Source organism: Homo sapiens, chromosome 6 (genome assembly GCF_000001405.40).
Source record: "Homo sapiens chromosome 6, GRCh38.p14 Primary Assembly".
Taxonomy (NCBI): Eukaryota; Metazoa; Chordata; class Mammalia; order Primates; family Hominidae; genus Homo; species Homo sapiens.
The window spans coordinates 93,742,938-93,762,259 of NC_000006.12; the positions used below are offsets into that span (position 1 = coordinate 93,742,938).

The 19,322-nt window shown below is 32.6% G+C and overlaps 1 long non-coding RNA gene across 3 annotated transcripts in view; it reads left to right on the top strand.

Annotated features, from left to right (window-relative positions):
* The window catches only part of TSG1 (tumor suppressor TSG1), a 72,604-nt gene that overhangs the window by 38,921 nt on the left and 14,361 nt on the right, over positions 1–19,322 (top strand). For 2 of the 3 annotated variants that reach the window (NR_152794.1, NR_152795.1), the window contains 2 exons: positions 1,179–1,293; positions 1,770–3,821. This is a non-coding gene — a long non-coding RNA (tumor suppressor TSG1). Of the gene's footprint in view, positions 1–1,178; positions 1,294–1,769; positions 3,822–15,170; positions 15,261–19,322 lie in introns of those variants that run through there. The other variant, NR_015362.2, reaches the window with a different exon arrangement.

Below are 19,322 nucleotides of genomic sequence, written 5' to 3' on the forward strand. Positions count from 1 at the left end.
AAAAAGAATGAGATCATGTCTTTTGCAGGGACATGGATGGAGCTGGATTCTGTTATCCCTAGCAAACAAACATAGGAACAGAAAACCAAATACTGCATGTCTTCACTTACAAGTGGTAGCTAAATGATGAGAACACATGGACACATAGAAGGGAACAACACACACTGAGGCCTATTAGAGGGTGGAGGGTGGGAGGAGGGAGAAGATCAGGAAAAATCACTAATGGTTAGTAGGCTTAATACCTGGGTGATAAAATAATCTCTAAAACTCATCTCCATGACAAGTTTACCTATGTAACAAACCTGCACATGTACCCCTGAACTTAAAAGTCAAAAAAAAAAAAAAAAGAATCAAGTGAATAAAAGAAGGACAGAATGGAGGGAGAGAGAGAGAAGGAAAGGATGAAGAAATAAAAAGTCACAAGCGCTTCAGGAACCTCAGGTGGAAGGACTGCTTGAGTTCAGGCGTTCAATGCTGCAGTGAGCTGTGATCTGCACTCTAGCCTGTGCAATAGAGTGAGACCCTGTCCCTCAAAGAATAAGAAAAAGAAAGCCATGATTTTCTACAAAAAAAAAAAAGGCAAGAATAATAAAACCAAATTAATATAACAAGTATTCTATCTTCAAAAGTAGTTACAACACCAATTTCTTACTCTAAAAATTGATAATTAAATGGAAACCAGACATTTACTTTGTGTAATGAGGAGATACAGTGAATCCCAAGTGGTGAGGAAAATATTTTTACAGAACAACATAAGGTAATAAATTTTTTAAAAAATTAACATTTTTCAACTGTTAATGAAATGATTGACTCAGGCAAAAATTATCATTCACCTAAAATTGAAGGGGAATTATTTTGGAGAGGAGGATTCATGTGATCATAAAATGTCACTTCCAGATTATTTGCAATTCGAAAAACATTTTTTAAAAATAATGGAAAACATTTGGTGGTCACTGCCTTAATGAAGTAATCAAATTTATCATCACTAATGGGGAAAGTTAACAATATCTGCTTTCTGCAGAATTCAATAAAAAGTATATTTCCTAAGAAGTATAGTGTGTTCCGCTACAACACACACCTTTATGAGGCTAATTAGCTTATACTGATTGGGAAAATTGGAAAATAATACCAGTAAAACATAGATGGTGTGCTGATTCAAATATTATTGTTCCTAGCAGGAGTAGCATCATTACCTCAAGCAATATTGCCAGAGAAAATCTTGACACAGAGAAGACAAGCTCAGTGCTTAATGTGAAAATTTATCTGCACATACAGAACCAGTCCATAATACAGGTAGGTGTATTCAGAGAAGGGCTGGGGGATACAAATGGTACACCATCAAAATTTGCTGTGATCGTTTGAGAAGTGTCTGTTCATGTCTTTTGCCCACTTTTTAGTGAGGTTATTGGTTTTTTGCTTGTTGAATTGTTTAAGTTTCTAAACACATGAAAAAAATGCTCAGCATCACTAATCATCAGAGAAATGCAAATAAAAGCCAAAGTGAGATAACATCTCACACCACTGAGAGTGATTATTATTAAAAAGTCAAAAAACAACAGGTGCTGGTGAGGCTACAGAGGAAAGGGAATGCTTATATACTGTTAATGGGAATGTAATTTAGTTTAGCACCTGTGGAAATCAGTTTGGAGATTTCTCAAAGAACATAAAAGAGAAATATCATTCTACCCAGCAATTCCATTACTGGTTATATATACAAAAGAAAATAAATTCTTATCAAAAGGACACATGTACTTGTGTGTTTATCTCAGCACTGTTCACCATGGTGAAGACATGGAATCAACCAAGGTGATTATCAAAAGGGAAGAGGAATGGATTAAAAAATATATGGTAGATATAGACCATGGAATCCTATGCTGCCGTAAAAGAGAACAAAATCATGTCCTTTGAGGCAACAGCATGGATGCAGCTGGAAGCCGTTATCCTAAGTGAATTAACAGAGGAACAGTAAACCAAACACCACACGGTCTTACTTAAAAGTGGGAGCTAAACATTGGGTACTCATGGACATAAAGATGCCTCAATAGATTACGAGGACAAACAGGATTAAAAAACATGCGTACTATCCTCACCATGTGGGACACAGGATCATTTTTACCCCAAACCTCAACATCATGCAATATACCCATGTAACAAGCCTGTACATGTACCTCCTGAATCTACAAAAAAAATGACTTTTTTTTTAAGAATTTGCTGCAATCTTGGAAAAATTCTTCTTCAAAGTCTTCTAAAAGCATTTTAACTTTTTATTTACATTTGGAAATTCAAGCCATCTAAAATGAAATCTAGCATATGGTCTGACATAGGTGCCAACATTATTTTTATATACATATCCAGTTAAGGTGGCATTATTTATTGAGAAGATGAAGCTTCCTCTATGGCTCTACAGTTTCTCCTTTGTCATAGATTAGTTTTCTCCATTTTTGTGGGTTTGTTTGTAAACCCTGTATTCTGTTCCACTGGTCTATTTATCAATCCTTGTTTCAATCCACACTGTTTATAGTAAAGTGTTATAAGATGATTTTTAGCTATTAGTATAAAATTGCTGATTTGCAATTATTCGAGACTGACTTTATTATTTCCTGCTTTGCATTTCTACATATCTTTTAGAATCAGCTTGTCATTTCCCATCCCCTTCAAAAAACACTACCATTTTTATTGGGATTATGTTGCATCTATATATACGAGAGAATTGTCTTCTAATTCATAAATATAGCATATCCCAATTTATTTTATTTGTTCTAATATCTCTTAACAATGGTTTATTTTCTACTTGAAGTTTCCACAGCCTTCATTAGATCCATGCCATTATAAATGGTATCATTAAAAACAAACAAACAAAAAATTTACTTTCCGTTTGTTGCTAGTATATGTAACTACAATTTATTTTTATACTAGCTTCATGTCCAGTCCAGTGATCATCTCAATTAACTAATCCCAATAATTTGAGGTATATATTTTTTTGAATTTTCTATGAAAAAAAATCATGTCTGCACATAAGTTGATTTTTATTTCTGCAATATAATTATTTGGCTTATTGTACTGGCTAGGCTTTGCCAGATAATTATTAATGGGTCATAGGAGATATCCTTATCTCATTACAGAAGTCATACATCTTTCATTATTTCATCATTAAATCTGATAATTCTTTCCATTTTTAAAATAAATGCCTTGTTTCAGACTAAGAAAACTCTATTTTATTTCTAGTTTTCTGTTATTTAATATTACAAATGGGATTTGAGATGATTATTATAATTCTCTTTTTTGTTAATTTAGAAAATTGTATTAATTGATCTAAAAATTTTAAGCCACCCCTGAAGTCCTGAAATAAATTCATTTTTAAAATTTATACATTGTATTTTATTAATTGATAATTTTTCTTGATAATATTTTGTTTATCATTGTACTTAGTGATGAAATAATTATTTTTTAGGATGTTGGTATCAAGGTTATGCTGGACTCATAAAAAGAATGTGGCATATTCTCAGTTTATAAAAGTGGCTATTTAGGACTGGTATAATTTATTATTTGTTTAAAGGTTTGAGTACAGAGTTTCTTCTGGATATGGAGTTTTATCCAGATAATTATTTTAATTAGATTCAATTCTAATAGGTTTTTAAATTCAATTCTAATTAGATTTTTTATTTCTTCTATCAGTTTTGAAAATCTGTTTTTCTAAGAATTTTATTTATTTTTTTCTATTTATTGGCATAAATTTGTTTATAATATTCTGATTTTTTTGATTATGTATTCCCACAATCACCCTGTGAAATAAACTACCTTAAGATTTACTGGCTTAAAACAATATATACTGCTTTGTGTGGATGGATTTGATTTTTTTGTTTTGTTTTGTTTTGTTTTGTTTTTTGGTCTGGTGAGCTACATAAATTCATTAATTTTAGTTTAAATGTAGATTTGTTTGGGATTTTCTGTGTGAAGACATCATGTTATGTGCAAATAGTGAGAATTTTGGTTCTGCCTTTTCACTATTACATGTTTACTTATTTGTTTATTTAATTTGTTTTTATTGGAATTGCACTTTCTGCTTGGCAACATGGCACAGTTCTTGTAGTCTGAGCTGGGCTTGGAGGGATCACTTACGCAGCAGCAGTCAATTGTGTTAAGCTGAGCAGCTCTGCTTTTCTTGGCTGGGCCCTCTTACATGTCTGGAGCCTCAGCTATGCCTTTATGGCTCAAATGGTTTTGCTTCACATGGTTTCTCATCCATTTGGACCAACTTGAGCTTGTTCGTAAGGAGAAAGTAGGGGCTCAACAGAAAGAGGGAGAGAGATTAGAAGCATGGAAGGCCTTTTGAGACCTTTGCTTAGAACTCGCACATCAACATTTTACACCACATTTTGTCGGTCAAGAAAACTACAAGACCTACTTCAAAGGATGTGGAAGTAGAATCAACCTCTCTATAGGAGGACCTGCAAAGTCACATTGTGAAAGAAAAGACAGAGGGAAAAAGCATAGAAGCCATTTTTGCAGTCAATCTACCATACTCATTTTCTTTTCACCACTTTTATTGATGTAATGTTTTTATCCTTTTCATTGTTACTATTAACATTTGGGCCCTTTTAATACCTATTTTTAGTCCAGTTTTATGGGATTGTTAATGTTATTAATTTTTTTAAAAAAGAAAAATTGGACTTGTAAATTATATTTTCTCATTTGTTGGTTTTCTAGTTCATGAAATTCTGCTCTTTTTAAAATAATATTTGCTATTTCCTTTTTCAATTTTTAAATCTTTTTTGTTTTTATTATTTCCATTTTCAATTTGGGGGAACATTAATTAGCTGTTTTAACTTTTTACAGAAATTTTTAAGTAATTGATTAAATGTACTTTTTTGCAATATATACATTTCAAAATATTTTCTACTTTCCAATGTTTTCTACCTAGACAAATAAGCTACTTATGTGAGTCTCTTTTTCTACCATAGTGATGAATTTTATTATTTGTTTTTCTTAGTTCTATCAGCTTCATGCTAAATTGTTAGGTTAGAAAATTTTTGAGTAAGAACTGGATATTAGATGATTTTAGGAAATTACTGCTAATTTTATTAAGTATGCAAATGACATTTCTATAGGCAAATATCTTATTCTTAGAAAATGCATGATGAAGGATTTAGAGAAAAAGAAATCTGACATCTGAAACCTATGAGCAAATGTATAAAACAAGTTTTGCTAAAACAATTGAGTACATAGCATGTATATAATATAGTTAAAATTTAACAATTACTGAATCTAGACATCAGGTGTGCAGATATTATAGTATAATTCCTATAATACTCCTGTATGTTTAAAGTTATCATAATAGAAAATGTTGGGAAAAATTTAGAAATGATGTGGACCTCCTTCTGAACTTGTTTTTTAGAGACCTCAGCATGTTGACTATAGGTAGTAAAGGCTTCTTACTGAAAGATGGGTGTGTTTCTTTTTGTGTGTTAATACTGCCAATCCAGCAATTAAGTTAATTATTTTCTCAAAATCTTGCCTAGTATTTTGATAAGTAATTATCTATCCCACATATCTCTGTATTACTAATCCATTTGGACTATCCTATGGAAGAAAGTGTTTGGTTCCCCAATGTTACAACCTTAGTGGACATGTAATGTCAAGTGACTACAGATGAAAACTTCTTATTTCCCAATTTAAGACATAAGGCCAACTTGACCTAAAAGTAATTCTACATTCTCTAGGTTTTCTCTGAGAATGTATTGCAATTCCAACACAACTAATAAATACTAATATTTGGGTCTTGTTTAATTTCAATGACCATAAGCCTACTCAATGTTGCCCAAGTAAAGTGAGATTTATTATGCAAATATTAATAGAATAAAAGCCGATTATGGCATCAGAAAGAAAAAAAAGTGGACTATCATATTTTGATAATAGATTGGTTTTAGCTTTTTTCTCTGTCTTAAGTGTCTTCTTATCTTTTGAGAATCTTTGTCTCCAGTTTGTCAGAAGAGACTGTCTGATTGATTCAGTCGATTAATGGATTGGTCATCATTGGAAGAGTGGTCTTCCTCATCCATTCAGATATACTTATGTGAGAGAGAGGACTTATATTATATATTCAAATAGGAAAACCATAGTGGTTTTCAGTTTTAAACTGGAAAAGCAAAATAATTATGTCTGTATTATATGAATTTAGCTCTTGTTTTATAATAGATGATAGGAGAATTTTTATCTTATCTTGTTTGTGTCATGATCAGCTGTCTGGAATAGGAGGTTTCCCTGTATACATCAGTTCATTGGTATTATAAGAAATGCCTCAGAACTTCATCAAGATGTAGCAAAGTGTTTAGATAAAATAGAACTACAGCAATAATAGAATTGTAATTACAGCAATCATAGAATCTTCTCTGTTATCTGATCCATGAGTTTGCCACAGGAATTTCCTTGAAGTTATGCAAAAGATGAGAGAAAAGATTTGCATTCACATCTATCATTCTACAATAACATGAGTCATGAGAACTTGCTTTATCTTAAGGGAGGTTTGAATGGATGCACTCTGGCTGGACCCACCTATCTCATGGAGGCAATTTATTCAATTTAGTAAACATATATTATCTATTATAACCTAAAAATGTTATGTTTTGTGGTAGGATTAATTTAAAAATCAATATCCTCATAGAACTTAAAGTTTTATGATTATAAAATACACATTAATTTGTGAACAATGGTGTTAATATGTGAAAAATTATTAATATTGGTGATATAAAATGTAAAAGGTTAGTTCTTAGCATGAATTATTAAGTAACTTTTCCAGGCATGATAAATAATGGACTTGACAAATGGGTAAGTTTTGGATAAATAGAGAGGAAGAGGGAGGCACAAAAAGAATGGAGGAATGCCATAGTAAAGTGCAATGAATTGAAGATAGGGTACTATGAGACTATAGTCTAAAACTGTATTGTTTTACAGTAACTTTTTGGAGAAAAGTAAATTAAACATATCCTCTCCACCATAACTTTATGGGGAATGCTGTTGTGCTTTGTGGACTCAGGATTGAAAAATTATGCTGAAAAATTCTGATGAATCTGAAAGAGATGTTTTATTTCTTTGCTAGTCTAACTGAAAACTTAATGACTCAGTCAAGCTGTATGTGTCATTTTGTGATTTAATATTATTTATTTTCTCGAATACAATCCAAACACTGAAACAAGCACAAAGACATACCATGGATTATGTTCACTGCTTCTTGGCAAAAGTACAGTGAATGGTTTTACTCAATTATATGTTCATTGTTTTTCAAATGTTATAATTAAGATCTAATAAAAACCCTATTAAATAATGTGTTTTCATTAAAAATATCACATTTTATAGGGCTCTTTTTATTTAAAGCGTTAAGAGAACTTTTGACTATTTTTCCTAGGAAACTTGATAACCCTGAAAATTCCTTTTCATAGAAGATCATAAGTTCATGTTAAGCAGTAAAATGTATAATTTATAGTGAAAGCCTATGCATTGTAAAATAATTCTTATATTTATCTCCCACTCGTGCTCTAGAATTGGCAGATATTTTTATCACTATTCTTCACATTTGTATCTATCAAATGGGGTTGGTGATATTCTTATGGAGTGTAGTGAAGATTAAATGAGATACTTGCATAGATTTAAATGTGTGAACCAGTGTAAGCAGCTAACACATAGAAACTGCTGTAATAATCCAAATCAAAATCTAATAACAAAGTGGATGGCTAGGGTACAATTTTAACATTATTAATGTTATGACAAAGATATAACACAGTATTATTACATTATAATCCTGCCACATTCCTGCTCTTCTCTTTAGACATTATTTTACATCTATCTTTTTTCCCTATAAATAATCATCTAGTTCTGTGTTCTTTTTTGAAATCTCTTTTTTCTCTGGTGAAATTATTACTCATCAAAAAGCATTCAATACTTAAAATGTGAGCATATAAATACAAGTTTTAAGTGGTTCAAAGTACATATAAATTCTCTGTTGGAATTTGAAGATGTGACTTGACCTCTAAGTTGACCTTTAAGGATTCTGAACAAATTGAGATAAGATAGGTTCAGCAATGGTCCAAATGTTAGCTTTTTTATGGATTAAAGAATAAGTCACTACTGTATTATGGGGAGGGGTTAAAGCCTGAAAGAGCTGCAGGAATGAGAGGAAATTTTTACTTATACTCTCTTGGAACAGCAGAGATTATAGGGAGAGATTTCTTTATCATAGATGCAGAAAACAGAAAGGGCATATTCTCCTATACCATGATGCCTGCTTATAGTTGGGAGATAAGATATGTATCCCAGTTTCTTAGTGATCAAGAGACCATTTATACCAAAGGGGATGCTAAATATACTTCTGAGGCTTAAACATGCATGATTCTTCTTACATAACTGTCATAATTTACTCTGACCTGTCTCATTTCTGTTTTAGTAATTTCAGCAAAATTTAAATCTATATACTATTTTAATTTATTTCTACTCCTGAAACTCTAAGAGACTATTGTTTTGAGTGAATCTGTATTTTCTTCTTTTGTTCCAAGGCCAGGCAACTCTTTCTTTGAGAAGTGTCTAAGGAGTCCCATTACAGTAAGACCCATTTTGAGTGTCCTTAGACATTAAGACTAGTCCTTAAATTAGAATAATTTCATGATCAGTTGAAGTAAGCTGTTCTTTCTCTTTAAATACATAGATGCTTCGTGAGGATTTAACATAGAAATATTATTAATAAATCCATATTATTTGAAACCTGTGTGAACACAACACAATGAACATTTCAAAAAAATAAATTCCTCTTCTCCTCGACTTTCTGGTTAATTAGATTTAACTATTTTTTTCTTTTGTTGATACACTTTAAATTTTGTTTTAATATCAATAATTTATCATTCATGTAAAGGTTATTCTTTAAACACTGGAGGTAAAGATACTAGTAACATAATATGCTTAATTTACTAATGGTGATTGTATCTGAGAAAATGAATTCAGCTACATGTTATGGAAAATCTGACTCAGACTGCTCCAACAACAGAGAATTTGTTGGCTCATCAATGGAAGTCGAAAGATAGGGTACATTTCAGGGACAGTTTATAGTTTATTTCAGTGTCCTGGCCTATGTGTGCTTGTTTCTGTGTGTGTGTGTGTGTGTGTGTGTGTGTGTGTGTAATCTTAATTGTGCATGTTGGTTTAAACTTCAGGCAGCATTCCTCAAGGTGGCTCCAGTTTTCACATTTCACACACTACAGCATGCAGAGGAAGAGAGAATGCTTTGTCTTAACATTCCAAGAAAACTCTGAGATTCCTCACGATTGGAATGTTTACAACATATGTCTGCCTCTATGCTGCTCATGAGTATAGAATATACTGATTAACTTAAGTCAAATATTGCCTATCTTAGGAAATGGGGGTATGGGCAGCTATATACAAGGCTTGGCTGTGTGCTAAAACTTAGATACCTTAAATAAACTGAAATTTTTATTATTAAATGGGAAAGGGGTGCAAAAGTGATCCACCTGCTCACCACAACCAATCTTCTTTTGAAACATAATCTTTTGTCCAGTGTCTTTTCTTTATGATAAAAAGCAGCTTTATTCCACATTGCGCAAAGAACAAGAGCTGCTATGTCAGTGTGGATAATGTTTTGCTTTACAAATCTTACAAGTACATATTTAATTAATATCATGATCCTTCACATTCAACTTAAACTCTTGGGCTAATTATCTCAAGAGTGATCCATTAGATGATTGGGGACAACATTTAAGGTATCAAGATCTATTTATTATTTGTCCAAACATCACAGTGGTGGTGTTTTTAATTTCAATTAGAATGTGGTATCTCATGCTTTCTAAAATTGTGTTTTAAAAGTAATATTTTATAACTATATTTCAAATATTCTTATGTTTCCATTCCTGGAAAAGGCATTATAGGTTGAAATGGTGGATCTGAGTTCTGATATCCCCTTGGAAACAATATTATAACAGGAAGTTATGTTCCACAACAAGGGCCTGATTAATTTTTTTGTTTTATTTTATAAATGGCTAGAAATAAACTATCTTATCAACTCTTAAATAACATATAAACATATAAGAGCAATAGTATGACATTTTTCAGTGTGTTTATTGAATTGGACAATATAGTATCCACATACATAAAATTTTATAAATTCTGATACAGAATTCTAGAATTTTTTTAAGAAATGAGATAAAGGAAATATTAATTGGGAACAGAATTTAAATGAATCATTTGGAGCAATTTTTTCAGGAAATTTCAAGATATTTTAGGACTCTCAGGGATAGCTGCTGGACTTTGAGTATTTGTTTCTCTAGTTGTTTGTTTCTTTATTTATTTGGAAGCTGGTTTATGGATGCTTATTTTTACAGCTTCTACTGATAATTGAGATATCCTCCATAGCAAGCAAAAGCTTAGGTTCCTCTGTGTTTGACATTGTATCCTCTTCTTCAACAGTGACTTTGTAGCATAACTGTGTTATACATACCACGTTTCAGAAAAGTCATACAAAGTGCAGTGTTGTAACTGACAATATTTTGATTTTTTTTTATTTTACCCAGGTTTTTTTAAGCATATTTGGAAGCAAGAGGTTGTAGAGTTTGAAGGGAACTTTGAGATCTTCCTGTCCAATCGTACATTCATTGTGAATTGCTTCCCCCACAGAATAAACAGTTTTGTTCAGGTGTTAGAAATCCAGCTCAGCCTAACTGAAGTCAGAAACAGGGTTTTAATTCCCTCACAGAACTAAAGAAGTCAGAAATGGAACTGACTTGAGGCAAAAGTTGATGCCAAGAGGACTCTTTTCATTCTGATTCTTTGGGGTGTTTTTCTCTTTTTTTTTTTCTTTTTCTTTTCTTTTTTCTTTTTTCTTTCTTTTTTTTTTTGAGAAGGAGTCTCGCTCTGTCGCCCAGGCTGGAGTGCGGTGGCACGATCTCGGCTCACTGCAACCTCCACCTCCTGGGTTCACACCATTCTCCTGCCTCGGCCTCCCGAGTAGCTGGGACTACAGGCGCCCGCCACTACGCCCGGCTAATTTTTTTGTATATATTTTTAGTAGACACGGGGTTTCACCGTGTTAGCCAGGATGATCTCGATCTCCTGATCTCGTGATCCGCCCGCCTCGGCCTCCCAAAGTGTTGGGATTACAGGCGTGAGCCACCGCGCCCGGCCTTTTTTTTACTCTCATTCTTTTCTCCTCTCACTATGCTTCCTCCCTGTGATAGTGAACCGGACTACTACCAGCTTTAAAGTTTAATCAGATTAGCTATAGATTCCAGGAAAAGAGAGTCTTTCTCATATATGGTTGCGTATAACAGTAGATAATAAAGTCCAATTAGTCAGACATGGGCCATGAGTCCACACACTGGTGTATGAATCTTCACCTCTGAAATGTGATACAAACCCACACCATGTGCACAATCCTAGAGAAGTGGAGAGCTATAATTAGACTCCTCTCATCAGATCTATATGGAGTTTGGGAGAAGTGTTTCACAACATTGGTGTGCCCATAATCAGAAAAAGGGTGAAGAGATGGCGGACAATTAGAAAGATTAGGAGTCCATAGTAGTTTGTGAAAATGTCGCTTCATACCTGTGGTAGGCTGAATAATGGTCCTTCAAGGATGTCCACATCTTAATCCACGGAATTTATGAATGTTATCTAAAATGGCAAAGAGGATTTGGGAGAATATCCCCCATCATCAGAGTAGTCCCTAAATGCAATCACATGTATCCTTTTTGAGGGAGGCAGAAAGAAAGAGAGAAATTTGACACGCTATGAAAGAGGGAGAGCCATTGTGACCATAGAGGCAGAGATTGGAGGGATACAACCAGTAGAATCCCCGCAAATGCAAGAAGTTGATTCTCCTTTAGAGTCTCAGGAGGGATCACAGTCCTGCCAACACCTTGATTTTGGTCCAACGATACTGATTTTGGGTTTCTGGCCTTCACAACTGTAAGAGAATAAATTTCCTTTGTTTTAAGCCACCACATTTGTGATAACTTGTTACAGCAGCCACTGGAAACTAGAACAATACCTAGTGAATTGATATTTTCCTCATTCTAACTGTTACTCACAGATTAATCCTATCTGGATGTCTCAACAACCAAAAATACGTTAATCTGTTTTCCTTTCCTATTGCTCCTTGTGGAAGTTTTTCAAAATAACTCTCAAGATTTTCTTGTTAAGGCGACATGTATTCAGTTTTGCATGGTTGCCGGTCCTTCAGGGTAATTCCACGGTACCATCCTGCCTCACATCCTTTCAGAAAGGAAGTATGAATTACAGAAAATACCATGGATATTTTCATCAAGATAAGTAGGTTTAACACTGGCTTCAGCAATTGTAGTTGTTTCATTTTCTACATATTGACTTATTTGATTTATACATATACACACATTAATTACACACTCATATAGGAAATCTGGAATACAGTAGATACTAAAATACTGTTAGGTACCTATCTCAATTAATCATTATCTTACTCTTCAAGTACATGTCGAGGTACTTCTTTTGTCAATGGTCAACATCTCTCTTAAAATATTACACTCAAATCAGTGTACAATAGCTAGGCATAATAAACTATATGTGGAATAATCAGCAAACAATTCAGTGGAGTTCATACTTTCCTTTGTCTGAAATATACACACACAGGGACACACAAACACATACATGTACACCAAATTTTTATTACAAAGTATTTCAAATAACCATGAAACAATTAAATGGATAGCAATATACCCCCAACTATCACCAAAAAGATGTTTACATTTTGTTATTTTTGATTCATGCAAAGATGTGAAATGTGACAGGTATACTAAAGTTCACTTTCACCTTCCCTACCCATTTCCTAAATCCCTACAAAGGAACACTCACCTGAAATTGGTGAATGTCAATCTGCTATATGCTTTGGTCGCTTGGTAGATATACATGCATCCATAAACATTGTTCTATTGTATGGTTTAAACATACAAAAAAAGTATTATATACATACTGCTTTGTAATTTCCTTTTTATTTTATTTATTTATTTTTTTGAGATGGAGTCTTACTCTGTCACCCAGGCTGGAGTGCAGTGGCGGGATCTCGGCTCACTGCAACCTCCCCCTCCTGGGTTCAAGCAATTCTCCTACCTCAGCCTCCCAAGTAGCTGGGACTACAGGCAAGTGCCACCACGCCCAGCTAATTTTTTTATTTTTAATAAAGACAGGGTTTCACCATATTGGCCAGGCTGGTCTCAAACTCCTGACCTCGTGATTCAGCCGCCACAGCCTCCCAAAGTGTTGGGATTACAGGTGTGAGCCACCGTGCTTGGCCTGTAATTTCCTTTTTACAACTCAAGAATATTTTTAAGGTTTATCCACACTTCATAAAATAGAATTAGTTTGTTCATTTTAATTATTCTTTACTATTCACCTATGTTGAATGCATGTACTTAAGCCACTTATTTATCTATTGCTCTACAGAGGAATAATTAGGTTGCTTCCTTCTCTTTTCTATTACACATAGTCATGCAATTAACATGCTTAACTCTATTCCCTTGTGAACTCACGGATGTAAATTACTAAATAATAAAGTTCATGCAAGTTTACAACTTTATTAGATATTGTCATTTTGCTTTCAAAATTTATTGTGTCTCATTGCGCTACCTCCAGGAAAGCATAAAAGATTCTATTTCCCCACAGCTTTGTCAACACTTAGTGTTTTCAAACTTATTAACGATTTCAAACTTATTAATCCTCACATGGTTTTAATGGTACCTTGAAATTTAAATTTGCACTTTCTAATTAATAACGAAGTTGAAGATATTTTCAGTTTGATTTTCCTATTTTATAAATTGTCTTTTCCTAACTTTGTTCATTTTTTTTTAATTGAGGAAGGGTGTTTTTCCCTTTTCATTTAATAGATTTATAGGACTTTGATAGTCTCTCAATTTTGTATTTTTGTTAATTTTATGTGTTACAAACACTTTCCCTAGGCTTTCTCTTTTTTTCATTTGGTTGATCATTTTTTTGTTTGATTGCTCATTGATATAAAATCTTAAGTGTAAATGTCATTTAATTATATAGATATCTTCCAAAGTATATTATAATAATTTTAACACTTACATTTTAAATCCATTTGGAATTTAATACATTTGGTGTTTTAGAATTCAATTTTAATTTTTTCTATAGATTGCCAATATTCTATTATTTCTCAGGGGTTTAAAATGCCATCTCTCATAAGTATAAAGTAATGTACCACATGCACCAGTCAATCATGGGCTTCTTAGACAAGATAGTACCATAAGATTATACCATATTTTTACTGTACATTTTCTGTATTTAGATATGTTTAGATACACATATACTTTCAATTCTGTTACAATTGCCTACAGAATTCAGTACATTACCATGTTATAGAGTTTTGAAGCCTAGAAGCAAAACAGTCATATAGCCTTGGTGTTTAGTAGGCTATACCATCTAGGTTTGCATAAGTACACTCAATGATGTTTGCACAATGACAATATTGCCTAATGATACACTTCTCAGAATATATCCTGTCATTAAGTAACACATGACTCCGTAATTGTTCTTAGATTTATTACATTGCCTCCTTTCTATAGGATTCTTAAAAGTGGTCTAGTTTTGTAGTAAATTTTGATATTTTGTTGGGAAAATATCCAAATTTGGCTGGGTGTTCTTGGCCCTTAGTATTTACATACACATTTTAGCATAGTTTTTCAAGTTCATAAAATATCCTGATGAGATTTTGATTGAAATTGTATTTAATTTCTTATTTTGCTTGGGGAGAATGCAATCTTTATGATTTCAAATTTTCTAATTTATCAATAAGTTATAATATGTCCATTTATTTGCCTTCTTTTATGTCCATTAATCAAGTTTTATACTTTTTTTCATAAAGAACATGTACTCTGGGTACATGTAATCTTGGGTTAATTTCCATAAATCTTATGACTTGGGATTGTATCGAGAATGGTATTTTTATTACTTCAATTTCCTAATGGTTTTATTGTGGTAAAGTGTGCTATTGATTTCAGAAATTTTTCTTAGATTCTTCAAACTGAATATATCTCTTATTATTTCTAATAGATTATCTAGAAACTGTAAATAATGCTATTTTATTTTCCACATCAAGATTTTTATTATTCTCTTATACTTACTAGAATTTCCAGTGTCACGTAAATAGATACAAGGATCATGAACTTTCTTGTATTGCTTCTGATTTTAAAAATAATGTTTCCAGAAATCCAGCAGTAAGTATATTCTCTATGTTTTATTGTTAGTTACACATTACCAAGTTAAACAAGTTTATTCTAGGAGTTTTCTATGAGTTTTAATTATAAACGAATGTTGTGTTACTTTTTTTTTCTCCACTCAGTCACATTATCCTATAGTTCTCTCCTTTAGTATATTAATATGGTGAATAATGTTAGTGGATTATCTAAAATTCAATACCTGAATTCAGAAGATACATTTAGAAATCGAGAAACGTGCCTTAAATTTTGCAAATGCATAGGGATCAGGAACATGTTTTCTTTACTGTAATAATTTTGCATATTATTGCATCATGGACAGCTGGGCTGGCCCACTATTCATTTTATGGGGAATGTCTTGATTTTAGCACTGAAAAGTTCTACAACCTGGAAATCCCTCCCTGAAACTCAAAAACACCCATTTTTTCAGCAATAGGTATGGAAAGTTGGGAGAAAGGTACAGGAGTTCTAAGACAGACAAAAAATAGGGGTTGAAAGCAGCATTGTTTTACCATTAAATGGATGCAGCATGGACCATCTGCTTTCTATAGTCCCTGTTGCTATTTTTTTCCCTGGCCACCTATGTTGGCAATCATGCTTTGCAGTTTCTAATAATGGATCATCCAGTGTTGTATCACCTGACTGAAGCAAGTTAACTGTATAACTTAAGTGTGTTTTATTTGTGAGCATGCATAATTTGTCCTTGATTTTGGTGATGGATTAACTATCATGATTTGTATCAAGATAATACTAGTTTAGTTGTTAACATTGTGAATATTGTGACTAGATTTTCTAACAATTCCCATAATGGAAACGAGAACAAATATAATATCAACATCAAAATGACCTAGCCTTCAATGGAAAAGAAGCTTAAATGACTGTACAATTTAATGGCAGATGGAAGAATATCTAAAAGAGGATTCAGAAGGTAAATAACCAAAACAGAGCTTACTATAAAATATACAGAAAATAATCTGCGTTTGAGGAGGTGAAGAAAGCATATGTGAAGACTGAATCTCACAAGCCAACACCAGGAAGTAATTTTAAATCAATCAAAATGTTTTTCATCTCACCAAAAGACACAGATGGTCTATTGAAAATAGTGGCTGCCGCATTAGCGTGGACATACCACATACACAATGCATAATATCACATCTATCCCTTGACTGCTCTATGAAAATGAGTAAAGTTACATTTCCTGATACAGAGGTTGCAACTAAAATGTCTGACATCAGCCTCTTATAGTGTAGAGCTGATTCTGTCAGATTTTATTAATATTAATGATCATGCCTTCTTACAGTATATCAAGTGATATGTCAGATCATTAGAACAAAAACAACAGGGTACTCTTAAGTACTTCAGTTTGTAAAATCAAATACAGAGCTTAATTTCTACAAAAAAATTAATAAAACCACAGAAACCAGAAAAGAATAGATTGCTGATATTTTGTTTAAATACAAACTAGGCCATGCTCATCTACCTGCATATTCAGCAAAAATTACAAATACAAGTTTTGGCAAATTCCATTCCTCCATAAATTTCAACCACAGAAAATGAACACCTCTTACTTAGCTAAATGTCCTGCATGCTTTCTATGCAAGATTACAAAAAGAGGTGTAATTTGCTTATCTTTGATATTGAGGCTTTCATAATGAATGTATTTTGTCATTTTTCATTTCTTCAAAATGTGCATAACCACACAATAAAATTTTCAGTTCATAGAAGTAAGAGTAGATAATGTCCTAAACATGTGGCCTACATGTTGCCCACCATAGAAACAATTTTAAAATCTCCTGTAAAAGTATATTTTCAAAGTATGAGAAAAATAGTGTCCATTTCTAATTTGGAAATACATTGACAACAAAAACAAAAGAGAATGATTAGAGTAAAACAGAAGTTCATGTTCTGTTCCCCCAAAATTCTATGATGGTCTTTTGTAGAAGCCATGAGCAGTCTAAAAAAAGATGAACTAACTGCATCTGAAGTATTTGCTGTTGTTATGTGTAGATTGTGATAAAAATACATATTGGGAAAACATGACCTTTTAAAATAGAAATAAGACTGCTTTAGAGCCCCAAAATATATGACTAGAAAATGGCAAAGGTAAAGATAAACAGGACTTTTCTCAATTTTTTTTTCACTAAGACTGTTACTTAACTGGCTTTTACTTTAAACTTCACAAGTTCTAATTACCTCCCTGCTTTAAATCCACTTTTCCTGAAAAAAAAAAAAAAAAAAGTTTAAATTCTGATGACATTCAATGTGAGTTTTAAAATTATGGTTATTTTAGAGATGGATATCCTATATGATGAATTTATAGATGCAAAGGACTTGATTGCAAAAGCTGGCCTACCAAAACAGGGCTGTAGATACAGAGTATATGGGCGTTTTTGAGAATAATTCCCATAAGTTTTAAAATTTGCTGTTGCAGGAAGGTAAAATGCTAAGTATTTCATGCTCAAATGCTTTTGCATAGAGGCTGCTTAGCTTGATGTTATCAATCAGACTGACACAAGAAATCAGCATAATGGGGACTTGTTAAAAACAGAGCTGGAAATCACAATGAATCTTAGGATTGATTGTATTTAGTTTTACCTCTAAATAAAAATAAAGAATGATGTCCTAAATGCTGAAGGCAGTTAAGGCAAATACAGTGGCTCCCTCTTATTTGTGATTTTGCTTGGCTGTCTGTGATTTTAGTTATCACAGTCAATTGTGATCTAAAAGTGTGAGTACAGTACAATAAGATGTTTTGAGAGACAGAGACTGCATGCACATAACTTTTATGACATTATATTGTTACAATTGTTTTATTTTATTTTGTTATTGTTCTTAATCTCCTAGCTGTGCCTAATTTAGACATTAAATTGCATCATTCTATATCATGTATAGAAAAAAACAGTACAGTCTTCCCTTGATATCTGTGTGGGATGTTTCAGGACCTCCAACTGATACCAAATTTCTCAATGCTCAAGTCCCTCAATTGGCACTGTGGTACCTCAGATATGAAAAGTCAGCCCTGCATGTCTGTGGGTTTTGCTTTCTGTGAATACTGTATTTTTGATCCATGGTTGTTTGAATCCACAAATGTAGAACTCGCACATATGAATGGCTGACTATAGAGAGAGTTTGATACCATTCACAGTTTTGGGCATCCACTGGAAGTCTTAGAACTTAACTCTCGTGGGTAAGGGGAGACTACTATATTATTGGAAAAGGTAACAGAAAGGATAAAATTTCTTACCTTATCATGGATTAGAAGACAGTATGACATTATTTATTATTAAATATGGCTAATTTTTCCTTAGTCCTACTTATGCTTTCCTTTTAAAAAGTTTACATTTATGAATCTTAAAGAAATAATAATAAATCATATAACATTTAACATCCAATTAGAAGTAAGAAAAGAGCTGTTCCAGAAAATGGAAACAAGATTTCAGATAAATACCAATTTGTCATATTTTGTGTTAAAGTGATAACATGTATGTGTGTAATTAGTATACAGCATTTACTATAATTGTTATTTGCTGTTATAATTATTATTATTGTTTGGCGTGGCTATGTCTTAGTTTACTTTCTAAAGTATTGCCTATAGTAGGTACAGTCCCTACATGCTATTTGGTATTTACTGTATTATAGTTTAATATATGGTTAACTTTAATAAATGCTTGCTTGAATGCAATGTATATTCACTAATCATACAGGTGAAAGAGTTATATATACATGCCAATATGTGGGGACTAAACTTGTTATTTGTTTTGTTTAAATCATTTATATTCTGATTTTTGTTCTGCTTGATGAATTAGTTTCTGAAAGAGTGGTATTATAATCTCCCATACTAATTTAAGATATGTCCAGTTTTCTCACAATACAGACAAATTTTGAATGATATGTTTTGAGGCTCTCTTTGAAGCTCATACTTGTTCTGAATTATAGTATCTTGTCAAATTGTTCCTTTAATCATGTGTACAGTATTGACTTTATCTATAATAATGGTCCTGTCTTAAATTCAAAACTGTCTGCTTAATATCATTATGTTAACTCCTCTCTTGAGTATTTGCC